At 40.4% G+C, this 23,018-nt stretch overlaps 1 long non-coding RNA gene across 1 annotated transcript in view, besides 1 other annotated feature; it reads left to right on the top strand.

The window, feature by feature from the left end:
- The window catches only part of LOC105372922 (uncharacterized), a 132,858-nt gene that overhangs the window by 82,135 nt on the left and 27,705 nt on the right, over window positions 1–23,018 (top strand). The gene's annotated exons all lie outside the window — the stretch shown is intronic.
- Window positions 976–1,476: an enhancer, noted in NCBI's record as "H3K4me1 hESC enhancer chr1:218138659-218139159 (GRCh37/hg19 assembly coordinates)". NCBI's record gives its function as "activates a minimal SCP1, AML or CMV promoter by ChIP-STARR-seq in naive H9 embryonic stem cells {active_cell/tissue: H9 hESC(naive)}" and the evidence as "EXISTENCE:reporter gene assay evidence [ECO:0000049][PMID:30033119]".

Below are 23,018 nucleotides of genomic sequence, written 5' to 3'. Positions count from 1 at the left end.
AAATTTTCCCCCATTCTGTAGGTTGTCTGTTTACTCTGTTAATACTTTCTTTTGATATGCAGAAGCTCTTTAGTTTAACGAAGTCCCATTTGTCAATTTTTGTTTTTGTTGCGATTGCTTTTGGCATCTTCATCATGAAATTGATAGGGACAGGAGGCAGGGAAATTCTGGGCAGAGGAGGGTGGGTCACCGGTGAGGGCCCCACCCTCAAGCCAAAAAACCTGATACCATGGCCCAAAGTGAGAACATACACCCGTGTTTTCCGGCTCCAATGTTGCCTTTTCCAAAACCCCCACCCTCCATCCTGCGTCCATAAAAATCCCAGACTCAGCTGACACAGAAGAGGAGAATAGCAACTGGATGTCAGAGACTACAAATGGACATAAGAGAGAAGCAGCTTGACTTCCAAGGGATAGCTTGATGGCCTAGCTTCAGAGAGAAGTCTGGCTGGGGATGGTGGAGTGGGGACTTCCTGCTCCAACCCATTTTAAGCTCCCTCTCCCACTGAGAGCCACTTTCATCAGCAATAAAATCTGCTGATTTACCATTTTCAATTCGTTCGTGCAACATCATTCCTCCTGGATGCCGGACAAGAACTCAGGTGCCACAAGTGTGGGTACAAAAGGCTGTCACACTGACCCTCCACTGAGATGTTAACACTTAAGCCATCCATGGGCAGCAAAGCTAAAAGAGCACTGTAGCACTTCCTCTGGGGCTTCAGGGGTTGCAGACACACCCCAGATGCTGCCACAAGGCCAGTACAGAGTTTGCTCTTGCCAGCACCCCAAAGTGATTGTCCAGGCTCCTGCACCTACTCACCTGTGTGCTCCCTCTCCCAAGAGGGGTGCAGCACAGCAGGTCAAGTGAATGGAGTTCACCCCTGCCAGCACCCATGCATTCCAGTTCCCACATGCAAAGGGGTCAGGGAAATATCCTGCTTCAAAATCTTTGCCAGGTCCTATGTCAAGAATGATATTTCTTAGGTTATCTTTCAGGGATTTTATAGTTTTGGGTTTTACATGTAAGTCTTTAATCCATCTTGAGTTGATTTTTGTGTATGATGTAAGGAATGGGTCCAGTTTCAATCTTCTGCAAATGGCTAGCCAGTTATCCCAGTGACAGTAGCACCAGCCCGTCCAGAGCAGCTGCTGTGTAAATGCCAGCTGCATCAGCAAAGGCATGGCTGGGGCTGTGTGCTCTGCAGAGCCAGAGGGGAGGGAATAGGCAGGAGCCCCTCCCCCTACTGGGTCAGTGGGACAGAAGCCCCGTGCTCCCAGGCTGCAGGTGCCCAGCTGTGGCTCCAGACCCAGACATTCCTGTGCTCTTGGGTGCCCAGGAAGCACCCCCCAGTTCCACAGGCTCAAAAGTGCCTGCTTCTACTCGCTGGCCTCTCCTAGCTCCCTGTACCCGCTCTGAGATAGAGCAAAGTTGTGGCCGAGCCCAGGCACTGTCACAACCCAGCCAGGTGTGTACATGCTCAGGGAGATGCTGACACACCAGCCCCCTGCTGCCTCAGCCCCCTCCGTACTTTTGGCACTGATGAGTGCGGGAGGGAGGCAGAAGTGGAAGAGGGTGCTGAAGGTGGCTCGGCAAGGGCTTGCAGGCACCCTTTGGCAGAAACAGACTGGATGCTGTGGACGATGTGATTGATGACGGAATGAGGCAGATAGGCTCCTGGGCAGAAAGGGACAGGTTTCCAGTGAAGCCCCACCTTCAAGCCAGGGACAGCCCGAAGCCTGGGGGCCAGGCTATCAGGTCTGGATGGAGTCCACGGCCTGGAATGAGAACTTAGGTGCTTTTCCTGGGCCCGGCCATGGTCGCCCATGGACCAATCAGCATGTACTTCCTCCCTTCTGAGACATAAAAACTTCCAGGACCCGCCACACTCACACAGATATCAGGACTACCAGCTGCAGGAAGGAGCTACCCACTTCTGGTCTCCTTGACTCGTTGGGACTACCTGCCTGTGGAAAGGAGTTACCCACTTCAGGTCTCCTGAGAGCGGTTCTGTTGCTCAATAAAGCTCATCTCCACCTTGCTCACCATCCAGCTGTCCACGTATGTCATTCTTCCTGGACACAGGACAAGAACTCCGGACCTGCCAAGTGGCAGGACTGAAAGAGCTGTAACACAAACTAAAAAACGTTTTAGAATTTTACTCCTTTTCCCTTTCTGTTTCTTTTAATGCATTGTCTGTCACATTTATTCACTTTTGTATTTCTTCTAGTCTTCATTTCTGAAATGACTCTTTTATCTATATATTTCCTTCCTTTCGAATCAAAAGTTTCTACAATTACTTTACTTTCGTATTTTAATACTTTAATTTAGAATGGGCATTCATTGATTCCACCACTTAAAATTGTTTTTGGCTCAGTTTGAGATACTAGATGATTATAGTTTTCATAAGTTTTTGGGCATGTGTTTCTGGCATGCTATTAATTGTCTGTAAGGGTGTTTTCTGTCCCTTTTTAAAAAATTTATTTAAAATTTTTTTATAATATCAAATTATCCTTTTCTATGCCTCAGAAAATTAGTTTTTCACTACTTTTAAGAAAGAAAGGTGGGCCAAAATATCTTTTCTATTAGCTTCTTGGCTCGAAGCTTCATTTTCTGTTGTTTTCTCAGAAGGATATATCCTCATATCTGCTGGGATCTGTTTCCCGCGTCCCCTTCATCACTTTTTCTGGATCTCCTCTTTGCTATACCCTGATTGTCCTTGTCCTGCTCAATCTGGATTCTACTTTTAGTAGTTTCTCTTTAGTGTGGTGCTTTGTACTAGAAGTGAGCTTCATTTTGTTCACGGGGTACAAACCACTCTAGCCTATACAACTTATTATGGTCCCCTTGCACTTACCTTACCTATAAATTAGATGCTATGTGCCCTTCCACTTTTAGGAGCTGTTTCCAGATGCGTGGTGTGCTTTGCAGTGAGAATTTGTTGGCATTTGAGGATTCTTCTGTTTCAGGGCTATTGAAAACTCCATTGCCTTTTCGCCACATCTCCTGTATGATATCATAATACCATGTGAGTTTCTTAGCTCTTAATTTTTTGTCCCTACACATTTTGATGTTTTGGAGTTCCTGGAGATACCTTGTCATCCAGTGTTGCTGTAGATGTTCTCTGTGGATTTTTGTTTTACAATCGTAGTTGATCTATTTGTTTTGTAGAGAAATTCAAGGGGATTCCAAATCAGCTTGTTACCATATTCCCATTCTCTCTCAAACTTACTCTAATCAGGCTTTCACCCCAAAATTGCACCAAAATTCTCTTGTAAATCTCACCAATAATCCCCATGTCCCTAATTTAATGGTCATTTTCTTATTATTTGACTTTCCCAGAAGCATTTGAATAAATTTTATCACATTTTCTTCCTTAATATTCTTTGTAAATTTAGCCTCTAGGACACCACTCTCTTGGTTTTCCACCTATTTTACTGGTTGATCCTGCATATTTCTCTTTGGCAGTCTCTTTTTTCCCCCAGTTTCCTCTTTTCCCCAACCTCTTAATGTTACAGCCTGCTATGTATGAACTGAATTGTGTCCTCTAAAAACTTATGTATTGAAGCCCTAACTCCCAATGTGATGGTGTTTGAAGATCAGGTCTTCGGGAGGCAATTAGGGTTAGATGAGCTCATGAGGGTAGGGCCTTTATGATGGGATTGGTGGGAAAAAGAGAAAGCAAGAGAGATGACTTCCTGTGCTATGTGAGGACGTAGCAAAAAGCAGGTCATCTGCAGGTATGAAGAGAGCCCTTGGCAGAAACCAGTTTGGCAGGCACCTTGATTTGGACTTCTCAGCCTCCAGAACTGTAAGAAATAAATGTCCACTGTTTTAGCTACCCAGTCTATGGTACTTATTACAGCTGCCTCTTAGAGAAATAGAGAGAAACCAAGGTGTATTTTTCTCACTCTTACACATCAGTTAACACAACGCTTTTGACACCAGATGTGTATGGGGTTGTACCCACACACCAAGCAATCACGTCTCCAGCATACACTATCAGGGTGTCCTCTAATTCTGATACTGTCTACCTGGAGATAGTGTCAGATCCTACAGGTTAAGGGCTCAGTCCCACAACACTGCCTCCTATTCAGAAGCCAGTTGCAAGTAGTAGGTTGTCATCTATACTTCTGACTCACCAGCCTGGCTCTAAATTGGAGGTTCCCGTGGCATCTTCCTCAGTTTTTATTAATATGCTAGGACAGCTCATAGAACTTGGGGAAACACTTCACTTACATTTAGCAGTTTATGAATAAATAATATGATAAAGGATACTGATGAACAGCTGGATGGACAGGGCAAGGCACGTGGCAAGGGGTGTAGAGCTTCCATGTCCTCTCAGTGTATGCCAGCCTCCAGCTCCATGTGTTCAGCAATCCAGAAGCTTCCTGAGCCCAGCCCTTTTGGTTTTTTATGGAAGCTTCATTATGTAGGCATAATTTATTACATCATTAGCCATTGATCATCAACTCAATTTTTAGTCCCTTTTCACTCCCCAGAGGTTGGGGGATTGAACTGAAAGTCCTAGCCTTCTACTCATGCCTTGGGCTTTCTGGAAAACATCCCCCTTCCTGAAGCTATCTACAGGCCACCAGTCACCAATTATCTTATTAGCATATAAAACATACTTTTGGCCGGACGCAGTGGCTCATGCCTGTAATCCCAGCACTTTGGGAGGCCGAGGTGGGCAGATCACAAGGTCAAGAGATTGAGACCATCCTGGTCAATGTGGTGAAACCCTGTCTCTACTAAAAATACAAAAATTAGCTGGGAGTGGTGGTGCACACTTGTAGTCCCAGCTACTCGAGAGGCTGAGGCAGGAGAATCACTTGAACCTGGGAGGCGAAGGTTGCAGTGAGCCGAGATCGCACCACTCCACTCCAGCCTGGCGACAGAGTGAGACTCCATCTGAAAAACAAACAAACAAACAAACAAACAAAACCATACTCTTATAACTCTGGAGATTCCAGGAGTTTTAGGAACTCTGTGCCAGGAAACTGGACGAAGACCAGATGCTATGTGACATTTTACAATATCACACAGCCCCAACAGGCAAATAAAGAGCTCTTTTATTTTTAGCACTGAATAATATTCCTTTGTCTGATGTACCACACTCTATTTATCCATTTATCTACTGAAAACATCTTAGTTGCTTCCAAGTTTTGGCCATTATGAATAAAGCTGCCTTAAACATCCATTTGCAGGTTTTTGTGTGGCTCTAAATTTTTTATTTCTTTGGGGGAAATACTAAGAAGCATGATTGCTGGATTGTATGCTAAGGGTGTGTTTAGTTTTGTAAGAATTTGCCAAACTGTCTTCCAAAGTGTCTGTACCATTTTGCATTCTTACCAGCAGTAAATGAGAGTTCCTCTTGCTTCAATATCTCTCCATTTATTTAGTTTTCTTATTTTTTCATCAGAATTTGTTGTTTTCCTCATGTACATCTTGTACATATTTTGTTAGATTTATAACTAAGTATTTCATTTCTTGGGATGCTAATGTAAATGGTATTGTGTTTTGAATTTTAAATTCCAATTGTTCACTATTTATACATGGGAAAGTGATTGACTTTTCTATAGTAATCTTGTATTCCCCAACCTTGCTATAATGATTTATTACTTTCAGAACTTTTTTTGTTGATATTTTTGACTTTCTAGATAGATAATCATGTCTTCTATGAACAAAGACTGTTTTATTTCTTCCTTCAAAACCTGTATACATTTTATTCCCTTTTATTGTCCTATTGCATTAACTAGTACAACGTTGAAAAAGACTAGGGGGAGAGGATATTATTGCTTTGTTCCTAATCTTAGTGGAAAAGCTTCTAGTTTTTCACCATTAAATATGATGATAGCCATAGGGTTTTTGTTGTTGCTGTTGTTGCTGTTTTTTTTTTTTTTTTTGAAACAGAGTCTCCCTCTTGTCACCCAGGCTGGAGTGCAGTGGCATGATCTCGGCTCACTGCAACCTCCGCCTCCTGGGTTCAAGTGATTCTCCTGGCTCAGCCTCCTGAGTAGCTACAGGCATGTGCCATCATATCTGGCTAATTTTTGTATTTTTAGTAGAGATGGGGTTTCACCATGTTGGCAAGGCTGGTCTTGAACTCTTGACCTCAGGTGATCCACCCGCCTTGGCCTCGCAAAGTGCTGGGATTAGAGGTGTGAGCCACAGTGCCTGGGCATCGTAGGTTTTTTTTTTTATATATAGCTATTCTTTAATAAGTTCAGGAAGTGCCCCTCTGTTTCTAGTTAAGAGGTTTTTTTTTAAATCATGAGTAGGTGTTGAATTTTATCAAATGTTTCTCTTCATTTATTAATATGATCATGTGATTTTTCTTCATTAGCCTGTTGATGTAATGGCTTATATTAATTGATTTTTGAATGTTGAGCCAGACTTGCACACCTACAATAAATCCAACTTGGTGGTGGTGTATAATTCATTTTATACATTGATGTATTTGATTTGCTAAGATTTTGTTGAGGATATTTGCATCTACATTCATGAGAGATATTGGTCTGTATTTTTCTTTTCTTGTAATGTCTTTGTCTTATTTTGATAGTAAGACAATGCCAGCATCATAGAGAGTGTATTAGTCCACTTTTTTCATGGCTACTAAGAAATACCCAAGACTGGGTAATTTATAAAGGAAAGAGTTTTAATTGACTCACAGTTCTGCATGGCTGGGAGGTCTCAGAAAACTTACAATCATGGTGAAAGGCAAAGGGGAAGCAAGGCACATCTTACATGGCAGCAAGACAGAGAGAGAGAAAGCAGGGGAAACTGCGACTTTTAAACCATAAGGTCTCGTGAGAACTCTCTATCATGAGAACAGCATGGGGGAAACTGTCCCCATGATCCAATCATTTCCCACCAGGTCCCTCTCTCAGCATGTGGGGATAACAATTCGAGATGAAATTTGGGTGGGGAAACACAGCCAAACCGTATCAGAGAGTTAGAGAATATTCTGCTATCTTCTGAAGGAAAATGTACAGAATTGATAGAAATTCTTCCTTAAATGTTTGGTAGAATTCACCACTGACTCCATCTGGGCCTGGTGCTTTCTGTTTTGGAAGCTTATTAATTATTGATTCAATTTTAAAAATAGATATATGTGTATTTAGATGATCTATTTCTTTTAGTGTGAATTTTAGCAGATTGTGTGTTTCGAGGAATTGCTTCATATTAAATTTGTGGGCATCTAGTTGCTCATAATATTTATTACCCTTTTAATATACATAGGATCTATAGTGATGTTCTGTCTCTTTCACTTCTGACATTAGTAATTTGTGTCTTCTCTCTCCCTCGTTTTTGTTTAATCAGCCTGCCTAGAAGCTTATCAACTTTACCAATCTTTTCAAAGTACCAGCTTTTGGTTTTGCTGATTTTCTCTATTGATTTCCTATTTTTAAATTTTATTGTTTTCTGTCCTAATTTTTATTACTTCTTTTCTTTTGCTTCCTTTGGCATTAATTTGCTCTTCTTTTTCTAGTTTTCTAAGGTGGAAGCTTTTATTATTAATTTTAGATCTTTCTTATTTTGTACTATATGCATTTAGTGCTATACATTTGCCCCTAGGCACTGCTTTGGTGCATTCTACAACTTTTGCTAAGCTGTATTTTCATTTTCATGTAGTTTAAAATAGTTTTAAATTTCTCTTGAGATTTCTTTTTCGACCCATGTGTTATTTATAAATGTGCTGTTTAGTTTCCACATATTTTAGGATTTTCCAGTTAACATTGATTTCTAGTTCAATTCCATTATGGTCTGAGACAGACATTGTATGGTTTCTATTCTTTTAAATTTGTTAAGGTATCTTGGTGAATGCTTCATGTGAGCTTCAGAAGGATGTGTATTCTGCTGTTGTTGGATGAAATAGTCTATAGATATCAATTATATTCAGTTGATTGATGGTGATGTTGAGTTCAACTATATCCTTACTAATTTTCTGCCTGCTGGAGGTATTTTTGATAGAGGGATATTAAAGTCTTGAACTATAATAGTGAATCCATTGATTTCTCCTTGCTGTCCTATCAGTTTTTGCCTCATATAGTTTGATGCTCGAAATGCGTTAGGCAGATACGCGTTAAAGATTGTAACATCTTGGAGAATTGACTGTTTTGCCTTTATGTAATGCCCCTCCTTATCTCTGATAACTTCTCTTGCTTTGAAGCCTGCTCTGTCAAAAATTATTACAGTCATGTGTCACTTAATGATGGAAAAAATGTTTCAAAAAATGCATCATTAGGCAATTTTATCATTGTGCAAATATCACAGGGTGTACACAAACCTAGATGGTATGGTCTATTGCTCTCAGGCTATAAACCTGTACAGCATGTTCACATACTAAATATTGTGGGCAGTTATAACAAAATGGTATTTGTGTATCTAAACATAGAAAAGGTACAGTAAATACAAGGTATTATAATCTTATGAGGCTACTGTTGTATATGTGGTTCATCATTGACCAAAATGTCACCAGGTGGCACATGACTGTATATCTACTACTGCTTTCTTTTGATTAGTGTTAGCCTGGTATATTTTTCTCCATCCATTTACTTTTAATCTAATATTTGTCTTTATATTAAAGTGGGTTCTTATAGACAACATATAGTTAGGTCTTGTTGTTTGATCCATATGACAAGCTCTAGTCTTTTAATTAGTATATTTAGATCACTGATATCCAATGTGATTATTTATATAGTTGGATTAACATTTACCATATTTGTTACTGTTTTCTATTTGCTACCTTGTCCTCTGTTTCTAATTTTGTCTTCCACTCTTTCTTTGATTTTTGTGGTTTAAATTTATCATTTTATATGATTACATTTTATCTCCTTTCTTAGCATATACATTATACTTCTTTTGAACTTCTTTTAGTGGATGTCCTAGAGTTTGCAAAATAAAATAACTTTTATTTTTTGTCCCATTACTGCTATTCATTTCTTGTATGTAAGCATTCTAAACACATATATACACATAAGATAATTGTATAATTGAATACATTGTTGCTATAATTTTGAACTATTATAGGCTAGATCAACTAAGAATAAGAAAGATAAAAGTTCTTAGTTTACCTTCACTTATTTATTTTTTGATGCTCTTCCTTTCTCTATGTAGATCTGAGTTTCTGATCTATATTATTTTTCTTCTTTCTGATAAACTTCTTTTAATATTTCTTGCCAGGTGGGTCTACTGGTAGCAAATTCCCTTGATTTAGTTTATCTGAGAAAGTTTGTACTTTTCCTTTAGTTTTGAAGGATAATTTCACAGGGTACAGAATTCTGTTGGTGGGTTTTTTTCCCCTCAACACTTTAAATATTTTACTTCACTTTCTTTTTGCTTGCCTGGATTCTGAGAAGTCAGGTGTAATTCTCATCTTTGTTCTTCTATGTAGAAGGTGTATTTTCCCTCTGGCTTTTTTCAGGATTTATTTGATTTTCTGTAGTTTGAAAATGATACACTCAGGTGTAGCATTTGTTTTGTTTGTGTTTTGCACTCATCCTGTTTAGTGTTCACTGAACTTCCTGGATCTGTGTTTTGGTGTCTGACATTAATTTCTGGAAATTGTATCATTATTATTTCAAATATTTCTTCTCTCCTTTCTTTCTTGTCCTTTTGGAACTCTCATTAAACATATTGATGCCTTCTGTAGTTTTCCCACAGCCCTTGGACATTCTTTATTTGTTTTTATTTTTTGAGACGGAGTCTCGCTCTGTCGCCCAGGCTGGAGTGCAGTGGCACATCTTGGCTTACTGCAAGCTCTGCCTCCCAGGTTCACACCATTCTCCTGCCTCAGTCTCCAAGTAGCTGGGACTACAGGCGCCCACCACCACGCCTGGCTAATTTTTTGTATTTTTTTAGTAGAGACGGGGTTTCACCATGTTAGCCAGGATGGTCTCAATCTCCTGACCATGATCCGCCAGCCTTGGCCTCCCAAAGTGCTGGGATTACAGGCGTGAGCCACTGTGCCCGGCCGGACATTCTGTTCTTTTTTATCAGTCTTTGTTCTCTTTGCTTTTTAGTTTTAGATGTTTCTATTGACATATTTTCAAGCTCAGAGACTCTTTCAGCCTCAGTTGTGTTCAGTCTACTAATAAGCCCATCAAAGGCATTCTTCATTTCTGTTATAGTGTTTTCTATATCTAGCATTTCTTTTGCTTCCTTTTTAGGATTTTCATCTCTCCACTTACATTGCCTATCTGCTCTTGCATGCTGTCTACTTCAGCCATTAGAGCTTTTAGCATATTGCTCATAGTTATTCCAAATTCTCAGTCTGATAATTCAACATCCCTGCCATGTCTGAGTTCTGATGCATGCTCTATCTGCAAATAGTGGGTTTCTCTTTCTTTTTTTTTTGTAACCTTTTAGTGTGCTTTGTAATTTTTTCTTGATAGCTGGACATGATGTGCCAGGTAAAAGGAACTGTTGAGGCCAGGCACAGTGGTTCACACCTGTAATCCCAGCACTTTGGGAGGCCGAGGTGGGTGGATTGTCTGAGCTCAGGAGTTCGAGAGCAGCCTGGGCAACATGGTGAAACCCCATCTCTACTAAAATACAAAAAATTAGCCAGGCATGGCAGCCTGTGCCTGTATTCCCAGCTACTCGGGAGGCTGAGACAGAATTGCTTGAACCCTGGAGGCAGAGGTTTCAGTGAACAAAGATCACGCCACTGCACTATTGCACTCCAGAGCAAGACTCTGTCCAAAAAGAAAGAAAAGAGAAGAGAAGAGAATAAAGAAAGAAAAGAAAAGAAAAGAAAAGAAAAGAAAAGAAAAGAAAAGAAAAAAAGAACAGTTAAAATAGGCCTTTAGAGGCATGGTGGTAAGGTGTGGGGGAAGGGAAGCATTCTGTAGTCCTGTGATTAGGTCTGTCTTTAAGTGAGCCTGTGCCTCTGACTGTGAACTTCACAAGTGTTTCTCAGTACCACTTTACCCCCCATTTAGGTGGGACAAGGATGGTTAGAGGGAACTGGAGTTGGGTATTTCCTTTCTCCCATGTAGAAGGCTGCAGCTGGCTGGAGTTGGGTATTTCCCTTCCCCTAGGACAGTTAGGCTCTGATAAAACCCCAGGAGGTTATACTCTAGTGAAATAATTTCTCTTGAAGCTAGGCCTTTTTAGGCAGCACACAATGCTCTGATGTATTTCAAAATGATTTCTTTTCCCCTCCCACTGCTGGAAGCATGAGGAGATTTTTCTGTGATATTTACTCTGAAAACCTAGATGAACTCCTAATGGTAAAACTCACAAAATGTAGAGGTCTCCCTGTGACTGAGTCCCCTGGAATTTTTAACTCTTAGACTCTCCATATGGAGCCTCCAGCAGTTCATCAATCAGAGTTCAGGGTTTTGTTGTTGTTCTTCCCCAGCATTGATTCCCTGGGCAGTTTCTACTTTTGAGTCTCTGCCCCAGTACCCCATGTCTCCCTGTATTCACTGTCTTTCTCTCCAATCTTGGGGGTAGAAGTTTGCCCTGTGCTCTTACTTCTCTTTTGAATCCAAAAAGAGTTGATTTTTCAGTCTTTTTAGCTTTGTTCTCATTGTTAGAACAGACTGGAAACTTCCAAACTCCTTATCAGCAGAAGCAGAAACCAGTTTATGTGTTTTTTTTGTTGTTGTTAATTCTGAACGGTAAAGTATGATATAGTTCAATAATGTTCTCATTTTACCTGCATTGATTACTTTGATGCATGTGTGTGTGTTTGCGTGTCTGTGTCCCTGCTTGGCTTGACCTTCATGCCAAGCTTGTTTGCTTGAGGGGTTACCCAGATCATTGTGACATGGGCATTGCCATTTCCATCTGAGACTTTCAAGGGGATGTAACTTGATTAGAAACCTAGGAGGTAACAGAGCTGGATTAGAAAGCCAGGACTTTCTAATACCAAAATCCATGAGTCTGTACTATCCCACTCCACCTGCGAATAAAAAGAGGCAGCAGAGACAAGTGTGAAACATGCCAACCCCTCCTATTTTAGTATTGATATTTATGAAAATCCTCAGCCTTGAGTATCATTTCATTTTCTGGTCAGAGTTCATAGTTATAAATAAGTAGGCATTATCAACAATAGCCACCTATAGTATCCTACTAATTCTAAGAGGTGTCTTTTATTTATGGTTAATATCTCTGAAATCAAGATGTAATTTATGATGGCATCTTACATTTGATGAAATCTAGTAATATTTTTGAGGTGTTTATTAAGCATTAGACACCATTCTAATTGTTTTAATACTCCCATTAACCCTACATGGTGGTGAGATTATTAACCTCATTTTAGAGGTAAAGAAGCTGAGTCATGGGAAGATTAAATAGCATGCTCAAGGCCACACAGCTCGTATGCAACAGCGATGAGATTTGTACCATAAGAGCGGGCTTCAGAGCTTGTGTTCTTAACCAAAAAAGACATGGAAGCTACTCATTGCTCTCAAGAAAGAAGGGAGACTGGGCCTACTCAAGACTGAAAAAAGACCTAAATTCAAAGGTTTAATAAAAGTTGACTGCATTACCTAATCATAACTTCCTTTTCTTGCTGTCATATCTTCCTTTCAAATGTTCTAGCAGTGCTTTCTCATCCAAGATGTCAGGTCATTTTCCACTGTGTTAAACACTATGGGAAGTAGGAAAGGAGAAAGAGTCAGGTGTCAGAAGAATGTAGTCCTGGAAAAGTTCTGACTCAGTGTTTTGCTACCTGAAGGCAACTTGGCAGCTTACCAATCGGCAACTTGGCAACTTACCTAGGATATGCTACAAGTCTGACTTCTAGAATTCTGAATTACTTTTCCTCCCATGCTTTTTGGTCCTGAATTCAGTGGAAAATTTATTTTTTGTTTCGTGCTGAAACCAGGGAAGGAGAACTGAATTAGGGAAGTTGAGAATTGTTCCAATCATCCTGCTATACTTTCCAAACTCTGGTTAGAATGAGCATTTAAAAAAAAAAAGCCTCTGCAGATGTAGTTCTCATGATAAATCACTTTTTAATCAGTCATAATTTTGCATTAAGTGCTGAATAAATGCCCTTTGTTTCATACTTAAACTGTCACTTACGAACATGGGGAGGGCAGACTAGTGCCTATCATTAGAGCAGAGAAAAATCAATACCATTTTTAATTAAAGGCAGGCACAGCCGGGCTTTAAGACAAGCAAATCTCCTTGTCAGATCATCTCCCCTTTAAACTCTTTCAGAAGTTCAGTTCAGAAGCTAAGAACGTCCAAATGTGGGAAGAGAGTGACACAAATGCTTTGGGGGAAGGGGTAGGCAAACAAATGAAGATGATAGAAGGAAACACTGGGAAATGTGTGCTTTTCACTCAGTCTGCCCTAAGGGGCAATCTTAAAGTATGATAAAATGTAGATGCTGGCTTATGCTGTTGAGGTGATCTTTTCACTTGCAGACTAAAAGAGGATGGAAGGACAGCCAAACAGACATTCTTGTCAGTCATATTTTATTATGGTTTAGAAGCCAGTACATTGCTTATTTTTAATGCTTCCCTTCACATTATATTTTACAGCTTGGAATTTTCTCACTTTGTAGAGCAAGAGTCCAGCAAGACAGAACTCAAAGTGTTTTATGACCTAATGGCAGAAGTGCCATTCCATCACTTTTGCTATATTCTATTTGTTAAAAGCAAGTCACTAGACCAGCCCACATTCAAGGGGAGAGGATTACACAAGGGTATGAGTACCATGAGGTAGCTCAGTGAGGGCGCCCTTAAAAGCTCCCTGCCACAGACCTTGATATCAAGAAGCATATAATCTATTTAGAGAGAAAATACAAATACATTTAGAGCAATATGAGAAAAAGAAAAGGTAATGTTTAATCACATTTCCAAATATGATAGAGTCAATGAGTTCTAGAGATAGGAAGGATGGAAATGACATGGAAAGAAGTTAATTAATGAAGGCTGATGGCACTTTGATAAAGGTACAAGGCTATTCAGAATAATATTACTTATTTCCTTCCGGTTATATAAGAATTACCATGTAAAGGACCCTCAGAGGCTCTTCCTAGTGTTCAGAGTTTTTATAGACCATGTGTCTACCTTCCAGTTATTGTTATGTTCTTCTTAGGATGAGAATTCCAACTAAGGCTGGTTTTGTAGGCAAAGAATGCTTTTACCAATCCTAATTTTACCAATCCTAATCTTTATGATTCTAAGTAATTTTTTTTTTTTTTTTGAGACAGAGTCTCGCTCTGTTGCCCAGGCTGGACTGTAGTGGCACAATCTCGGCTCATTGCAACCTCTGCCTCCCGGGTTCAAGTGATTCTCCTGCCTCAGCCTCCCGAGTAGCTGGGATTACAGGCAACTGCCACCACACCCACCTAATTTTTGTATTTTTAGTAGACACAGGGTTTCACCAAGTTGGCCAGGCTGGTCTTGAACTCCTGACCTCAAGTGATCTACTTGCCTCAGCCTCCCAAAGTGCTGGGATTACAGGTGTGAGCCACCATGCCTGGCCTAGTATTTTTTTTTTTAATTCATCTCAAAACAGCTTAAGGATGAGAATTCCAACTGAGGCTGGTTTTGTAGGCAATGAATGCTTTTACCAATCCTAATTTTACCAATCCTAATCTTTGTGATACTAAGTAATATTTTTTTTAAAAATCCATCTCAAGATAGCTTAAGAATAAAATATGGTCCAGCAGTTCACATAATTCAAAGGTCCACAGGTAAGTTAAACCTCAGATTCCGTGTGATCCGGAACCCAGCTCCTGATTCTGGGGTTTTCTGAGCTCTGCTCTCCTTAGTGTGTGGGCCTCATCTTCAGGTGGTTTCCATCCTGCAGTCAAGGCGGCTATTGACAGCAACCAGGGCAACATACAACCTTATTCACATCCAGAAGTTCCTGTATGCCCTTCACCACAAACTCCACATATTGTTTTCACATTAGCCACTAATTTCTGCCTTAATTCCAATGTTTCTGTGAAACCCAACAAAAATGAGTCCTATTTTAAATAACATCTTCATACAGAATGGAAGCAGGATGCATAAAATCCACTATACAATCCATAAGTCAACAGCATACTTTTGTTGTTGTTGTTGTTGTTTTTAAACCACTTTTTTAGTCCGGGCGCGGTGGCTCACGCCTGTAATCCCAGCACTTTGGGAGACCAAGGCAGGCGGATCACGAGGTCAGGAGATCGAGACCATCCTGGTTAACATGGTGAAACTTTGTCTCTACTAAAAATACAAAAAAATTAGCCAGGCGCAGTGGCGGGTGCCTGTAGTCCCAGCTACTTGGGAGGCTGAGGCAGGAGAATGGCATGAACCTGGGAGGTGGAGTTCGCAGTGAGCCAAGATCACGACACTGCACTCCAGCCTGGGCAATAGAGCAAGACTCTGTCTCAAACAAACAAACAAACAAAACACTTTTTAAAAAGACTGTTGCACATTTCATGCATACTGTCCTTAGATCCAAGCAGGAGGACCCTGCTCTGACTCAACATCCATAACCCCCATTCCTCCACCCATTTTGGTGACCTCTCCTCAAAATGTTGGAGGTCTATCCTATTGTCTGGAACCAAGCAGGGCACCCAGGGTTCCTGTTTCTGCCTTTTTTGGAGGCTCTCTGACCCCCCCACCCTGCCAGGTCAAGAGGATGCTGCAGAGACTGGCACCCAGAGTGGTGCCCACGTGCTAATTTTGGGTGACTCCCAGTCATGTCAGGCACATGGAAGAATTAAGGTGTCTGGACTACAACCCAGTTCTCTCTGTTAGAGCCGTGCCTCTCTTCCAACCACAGTGCTGCTTCCAAGGGCAGCAGGCTTCCTTGTCCCTTACCTCTGTGTGCCCTAGTGCTGGCACCTAAGGTGGTCACTCACCCTCTCCGCAGATGCCAGGGAACCCTGGGATGGCCACTGCTCCACCAGATCAACAGGCTCCTCCAGCTGAGTCAACAGATGCTCCTGATGCGGCTCTCCATGAGTGCCTTCCCTGAGCTTTTCTCAAAGGACAGACATTTCTTATGGGAATGTGCCTGCTTTGCTTGGGCCGCCCAGCAGATGTTGTATGGCAGGGGTGTGGTCAACAGTGAAGGATCACATTTTAGGAATGTAGAAGTTACAGCCCAGGATTCAGGAGAAGTCATGGCTGAAAGATTTATTTGTGTGTATAATTCTGATTAGTAAATTTGACCAGAAAATGAAATATTGTTTACATTTCCCTGCATACTCTGGATAAGTCTTGAATTTGCAGTCATCCTCAGTGAAACATAGTTAACAACTTTTGAGAGTCGTGAAGCCAGCATTCATTAGTGGCACCATGGATGATGTAAAGAGCATTGACTAAATGATATTAGAAAACTACAGAAACAGTCCGGGTGAGGTGGCTCACATCTGTAATCCCAGCACTTTGGGAGGCCAAGGCAGGCAGATCACCTGAGGTCAGGAGTTCAAGACCAGCCTGGCCAACATGGCGAAATCATGTCTCTACTAAAAATTCAAAAATTAGCTGGGTGTGGTGGCACACGCCTGTAATCCCAGCTACTCGGGAGGCTGAGGCAGGAGAATCTCTTGAACCCAGGAGATGGAGGTTGCAGAGAGCTGAGATCGTGCCACTGCCCTCCAGCCTGGGTAACGGGTATCTCAAAAAAAAAAAAAAAAAACAACAAACAAACTATAGAAACAAAGATCTACGTTGTTTCAGTGCAAGCAGATTCTGAAGAGCTATAGCATTTTAAGCCATAAAAGTAGCATTTCTACTTTTTTCTTATGAAGGGAGACATAAAATTAGCTGAGAAAGGAGCATTTGATGTTAAAGAACACAAAGAGATGGTTCCTGGACTTACACAGGCTTGATGATACCTATCCATGAAGAGAATTTCCATGTGCTCTGATTGAACAATAAACAAATATGTGTCTATTCTCTACCCATCTATTCTAAATCTTCATTAATATACCACTATATCTCACATGGGCTCATTTAATTTTTAATCCAATTGTTTATATAGACAAGAGCCCCATAAAAAACATTTGTCACAGGTCTCCTATACCCTAGGGACATCCTGATATCAGATTGCTAACTCTGGAATGGCTAGATGCCATGAAAGAGACGTATGTATAGACATATAGATAGATAATTTCTGAAGCTGGATTATCCAAATTGTGTAGTTTACAAAAGGTCAGAAATATGCATATATATATGTATATATATATACACATACACATACAAAATCATGACACAATTTGTCCTATGGGAAAGAAATTTGTCACTGACAATCTATTTAATTTTAATACATGCATAACTCAACCAAAGAATTTTAAGACAGGGTCTCTGTCAACTGTATCATCCAGGATGGAGTACAGTGGTACAATCATGCTCATTGCAGCCTCAATTTCCCTGGGCCCAAGCAATCCTCCCACCTCAGTCTCCCGAGTAGCTGGGATGACAGGCATGCACCACCACTCCCGGCTAATTTTTTTTGCATTTTGTAGAGTCAGTGTTTTGCCATGTTTCCCAAGCTGATCTTGAACTTCTAGACCCAAGTGATCCACCTGCCTTGGCCTCCCAAAGTGCTGGGATTACAGGCGTGAGCCATCACACCCAGCCAACCAAAGAATTAGTAATGGTATAGTGTTGATACGTAATCGATTGACCAACAAATTGTAATTGCCTATAAAATCACGAAAAATTCTTGGTGGCCTCCATAGTCTTCCCTCAACACCAGCTGTAGCTGCCCATTCTTGGACAGAGACCCTCCACTCTCTTCAAGTCTCTACACTCCTCCAAGGCCTGACTCAAGTTTGATATTTTAAGTGAAACTTTTGTTTAAGAAGTTGTAGTACATATCCCTGTACGGTCATCAGAAATGATAGGGTTTACTGTTAATACAAGTTATTTGGAGGTTTGGAGTTAACCACACAAATGTCATGTCGCAATTCCTGTTTTGTCTTACATATTTCTTTAGCTTTTGATGTTATGTTCTACTCTCTTTTGCATTGCCCTTAGCTACTGCACAAAGTTGATTGTCAGTATGTATCTATTGATTTGTAGATGAATGAACAACATGGAATTCCAGATAGGCCTTTGTCCCAGGAGGTGACTGGGTCAACTACAATTACCTTGGTAAGGTTGAGGGAAGGAGCTGGGGATAAAGTGTTACATGTGTGTATGAAAGGAAAGGGGAGAGACAAATGTAGGTGACCACAGGATTGTATATTTATTTAATATTAATAAATATATATATTTTACATATATAGGCCATTTATTGGTCTGTATGAAGAGTGTTTAATTAATAATTACACAGTGAAATAAGGTCTATCTCTAGATTAAAAAAAAAAATCCCTTAGTGGATTTTCTATACTTTTTCTTCTGCAATTATAGTATAAACAATACATTAGTAGTTTCGAATAATGTCAATAGTGATTCCTTAATTTTTTAATCTTAAAATTAAATTAAGTAGGTTCAATGTGGCAGTCCTCTAGTGGTTTGATTTCCTGATGAGCACAGGGAAAGGAATTTATTATAGAGGTCTCTAGATTATTTCTCACTTGATTGGAAGTTTTTTGAGAGTGGAGCTATAGTATTTACTTATTTTAACAGACTTTATCTTTTAGAACTTCTTTTGATTTACAGAAAAATTTAGAAGATAGTACAGTGTTCCCATATATCCAAGCATCCAGTTTCCCCTATTATGAATATCTTATATTGGTATGAATCATTGGTTACAGTTTAATGAACCAATATGCATACATTATTATTAGCTAAGGTCCATATTTTACTCAAACCTCTATAGTATAACCAAATAACATTTTTCTCCCCAGGACCCCATCTAGGACACCACATTGCCTTTATTCATCATGTCTCCTTAGGTTCCTCTTGGCTGTCACAGTTTCTCAGACTTTCCTTGTCTTTGTTGACCTTGGTAGTTTTGAGAAATACTGGTGGGGTATTTTGTAGAATGCTCATCTATTAGACATTATCTGAATTTTTTTTCTCATGATTGACTGGGGCTATGGGTTTTTAGGAGGCTAATCACAGAGGTAAAGTGGCATTTTTATTACATTCTCTCATATACATCACATACATATACATATATGTATACATATATCAGATACATCATATCAGCTTGACTTGTCACCTTTGTTGCAACCAGCAGAGGTAGTTTTTGTCAGTTTCCTCCACTGTGTAATCAGTCTTTTTTCCCCACTTTCCACACTGTGCTTTTTGGAAGGAAGTCACTCTGTGCAGCCCACACTTACAGAATGGGGAGTTTATGCTCCTCTTCTTTGAGGATGAAGGAAGTCCTTACATAAATTATTTGGAATTCTGCTACACAGAGTGTTGGTCTCACTTCCCCCAATTAATTAACTAATATCAGCATGGATTCATGAAAATTGAGATATATATTTTGTACTTTGAGTTATAATCTGATACTACTGTTTTTGTTGCTCAAATTGTTCCAGCTTTGACCGTTGGGATCTCTTTCAGTTGGCTCCTGGACCCCCATGAAAGACGCACATTATTGGGGGGTTTTGGTGTTTTGAGTTTTTATTTTTTGATTACTTACTTCCACTCTGGCACATGTCATCCCAACTCCTAGTAACTCAATTAACTAGTTGTTAAATAAATGTAGTATATATTAAGCCATAGTATGCCGTATTTTGCAATCATATTTAGCCAGTTTAATTTTCAAAAATGATAACACCTCTGGTTGTATTTCTGTCTTGTAAAAATGCCCACACCACCTGTTTTGTGACCAAATATGTTTATGTTCTTGCTTCCTGAACATTTCTTCCTCTGTGTTTCAGTTACGGTCCAGAAGTCTAGTGGCATTTCAGCAACATTTTTGGGTATTTACTTAATTCTAAGGGCTCTAAAATTTAAAGAGCCTGAAAGCAAAACTCTCAAAGCTGAAATGATTCTCCACAGCCAAGCTGAAGATGGGAGCTTTGCTTTCTCTCTTCTCGACTCAGGCCTCCCTGCTCCATCTCCCACGGCCAACATAAAACAAGACATCGACCCGGGAGTTGAAAAAGCTAAGAAAAGGGCCTAGCATGAGTGTGGGCAGATGTAGTAAATTTATGTCTCAGGTCAACCCAATTTACTCCTGCCTCCTCCCCCGAGTTCTTCCCTGTCCCTCGAGTCTTGCTTCAGACAATGAATTTCCAGGGAGTTTTTTGCCTTTTGATCTCCTCTCTGATCTAATGCAATTGTCCACTGGCAGAAGCGCTGTGAGGTGCAGAATAAAGTAATGAAGTTAATTTGATTTCCGCACCACCCCCACCCTTAACATCTACATGTCTTTATTGTATTAGATTCCTAATGAGATTCTCAGTCTGCACTCCAGCAAGAGACTTGGAGGGCAGTGTCTGTGGGAGGGGTTCATCTCAGGAGATTTTTCCCCATTTACATCCCATCTTTAATGGATATGGACCTGCCTGCCCTTGAGTCATAGGTGATCACATTTCCCTTCCTGGACTCTACTGGACAAGAAGTGAGAAAACAGCCACAGCTGCAGGGAAGCCTGGGACTTCTTTTCAATTCCAGCGGAAAGAATACAAAACTAAAGGTTTGCGCTGAGCTGAACAGCTCATGGAAAGAGCTTCATACAAATTTCCAGTCCCAAAGCATCTGTTTCAGAAGGAGATTTGCTCCTGTGTGGAGGCGCCTTTGTTTCTATTTTTGACACCAGCACTATAAATAGTGAACAACAAAAAATAACATTTCACAGGGCCTTCCCTAGGATATCAAATTATTCCCTGGACCATTTCAGTTGCACAGAGGTGATTCCATGGATTTCAGATTAACTCTCATCCAAAGTCTGGCTGGCCAGGGACCGTCTGAATGGGACATACATAGGAAGTCTGTTCTGGAGAAGTCTGTCCTTTTCAGCACAATGCTCATTCACTCCCTCAACTCTCCCCACCACCCACAATAATAGATTTAAACCATTTCATAAGTGTCAACCCTCCATTTATCTAGTCCGTCCTTGATCTACCAGGACTTTTGTGGTGATACTGATATTACCCCTTACCTATTTTCCAGATCCAAAATATTTAATTTACCTGTCTCAAATCATAATAGACACAAGGAATATAGTGTGATATAATTTTGCTGTTTTCAGTCCAAAAGCTGCTTTTGAACTGGTGACAATCTTGCTGGAAACTGATTTAATCAATATAATGCACTTATTTGTACAGCTTAGTGAATTATCTTAAGACCTAGTATGGGCAGGGTGGGGAGACAAACATCAATAATTAACAATTCACAAGTTGATTGTTACAGCTTAAAAGAGTTTTTTTACTATTTCAGTTAAATAAAAAGAGAGAAAGTAGAGTGCTGTCCTAGTAGTGGTTTTATAAAAGCAAACATTGCTCAGTTTGTTTTAGACCTCTCTCAAATCTTTGAAATCATGGGAGGAAAGGAAAGGAACGGTGATTGACATCATGACGACTTTTCTAGGGGGAAAAAGGTAGTTTATATCTAATCTAAGGTCTTTAAGAGGAATCTATCAGCTTTGGTTTGGCTCTCGGTGGACAGGTGTCTGTATCATAGAAGCACCATACATAATTCACCACCAGAGAGCCCCAGAACTTAGCAAGAAGGCTAAATTACCTGTCACTTCCAGAAAAGGTGTTCTCTTCAGGTCAAGGTTGAAAGCTCTGGTAAACCCGTGTGAGGAAGAGCACAGCAGTCCCTATTTAAATGTCAGCACTGCTTCTCAGCTGTGGGAAATGCAGGTTGGCTATTTACCCCATAAATTTGCCTTCCTCTTTTGCAGGGCCAGTTAACACGTTATCATTCTGAAGTCAGATTGGAAAGAAGTGAGGTTGTTTGTTTTAGTGACAAGAAACAACTTTGTTTATGTCAAATCAGTGGATGCTGGGAGAACTCTCTTCATAGAGGGGGTGGGCTGTGGGGGGTCTTGTCTGAGGTGTGAGCCATTAAAGCTTACACTGAATACAAAAACGTCTCATTATTACGTGGGGATAGAACACTGAGTCTAGTCCCAGGCCGACTCTGACTTAGGAACACAGTTCGTGAAAGGCAGGTGCCATCTGGCTGTCATTAAGCTGCTGATTGTGCCCCTTTCCTTGATTGACTGGTGATTGATTGGCAGGTGAGATGTGGAGTCGAATGTAGCCTGCATCGGGGAGGTGGGAGGGCTTGTGTTTCAACTCTGTAGTGTGGGGAACTAGTTTGAGGTATCACACATGAATTTCTCTTCAGATTTATCATCTATATTTCAGGAACTTTGTTTTTGAAGTAATATAATACAAAACAAAATAAAACAGAAAACATAGAGCCACCAGATTGAGAGAGAGAGAGAGAGAGTGTGTGCTTATTTCACTTAAAAGCTATTTCCTAGGGTGGGCGTAGTAGCTCACGCCTGTAATCCCAGCACTTTGGGAGGCCGAGGCAGGAGGATCACCTGAGGTTGGGAGTTCGAGACCAGCCTGACCAACATGGAGAAACACGATCTCTACTAAAAATACAAAATTAGCCCGGCATGGTGGCACATGCCTATAATCCCAGCTACTTGGAAGGCTGAGGCAGGAGAATCGCTTGAACCCGGGAGGCAGAGGTTGCGGTGAGCCAAGATAGTGCTATTGCACACCAGCCTGAGCAACAAGAACAAAACACCGTCTCAGAAAACAACAAACAAACAAACAAACAAAAAAAACCTGATATTTTCTGGGTTTAATTCTGAGGTCAGTGAGACAAGACCAGTTCTGTATTTTCAGCACTTTTGCTGCTTTATAATTTTTTATACTTACAAAACATTTTTAGTTTCAATTAAATAATTGGGTTTTATAAGTTCTTTATTTCTAATAAAAGAAAAAAATGACTGCTTAAGATTTCTGAAGGTGTTTGAAAAGATATTTTGTTATATGAAAACACTTTAATCAAATTTAAGTGTTAATCAAATTAATAAAATCAAAATTAAGAATCAACTCTGCAATACCTGAGAAGTTTATTGCACTTGGTAATGCAGAGGAGCAGGAAGGAGAAAAAATCACAGCCACAAAACTTTCTTTGCAACCTCCGCCTCTGGGCTTCAAGCAATTCTCCTGCCTCAACCTG

Source organism: Homo sapiens, chromosome 1, assembly GCF_000001405.40.
Source record: "Homo sapiens chromosome 1, GRCh38.p14 Primary Assembly".
Classification (NCBI taxonomy): domain Eukaryota; kingdom Metazoa; phylum Chordata; class Mammalia; order Primates; family Hominidae; genus Homo; species Homo sapiens.
The sequence above is the reverse complement of the archived record's forward strand: the minus strand, read 5'-3'. Positions and strand labels throughout refer to the sequence as shown.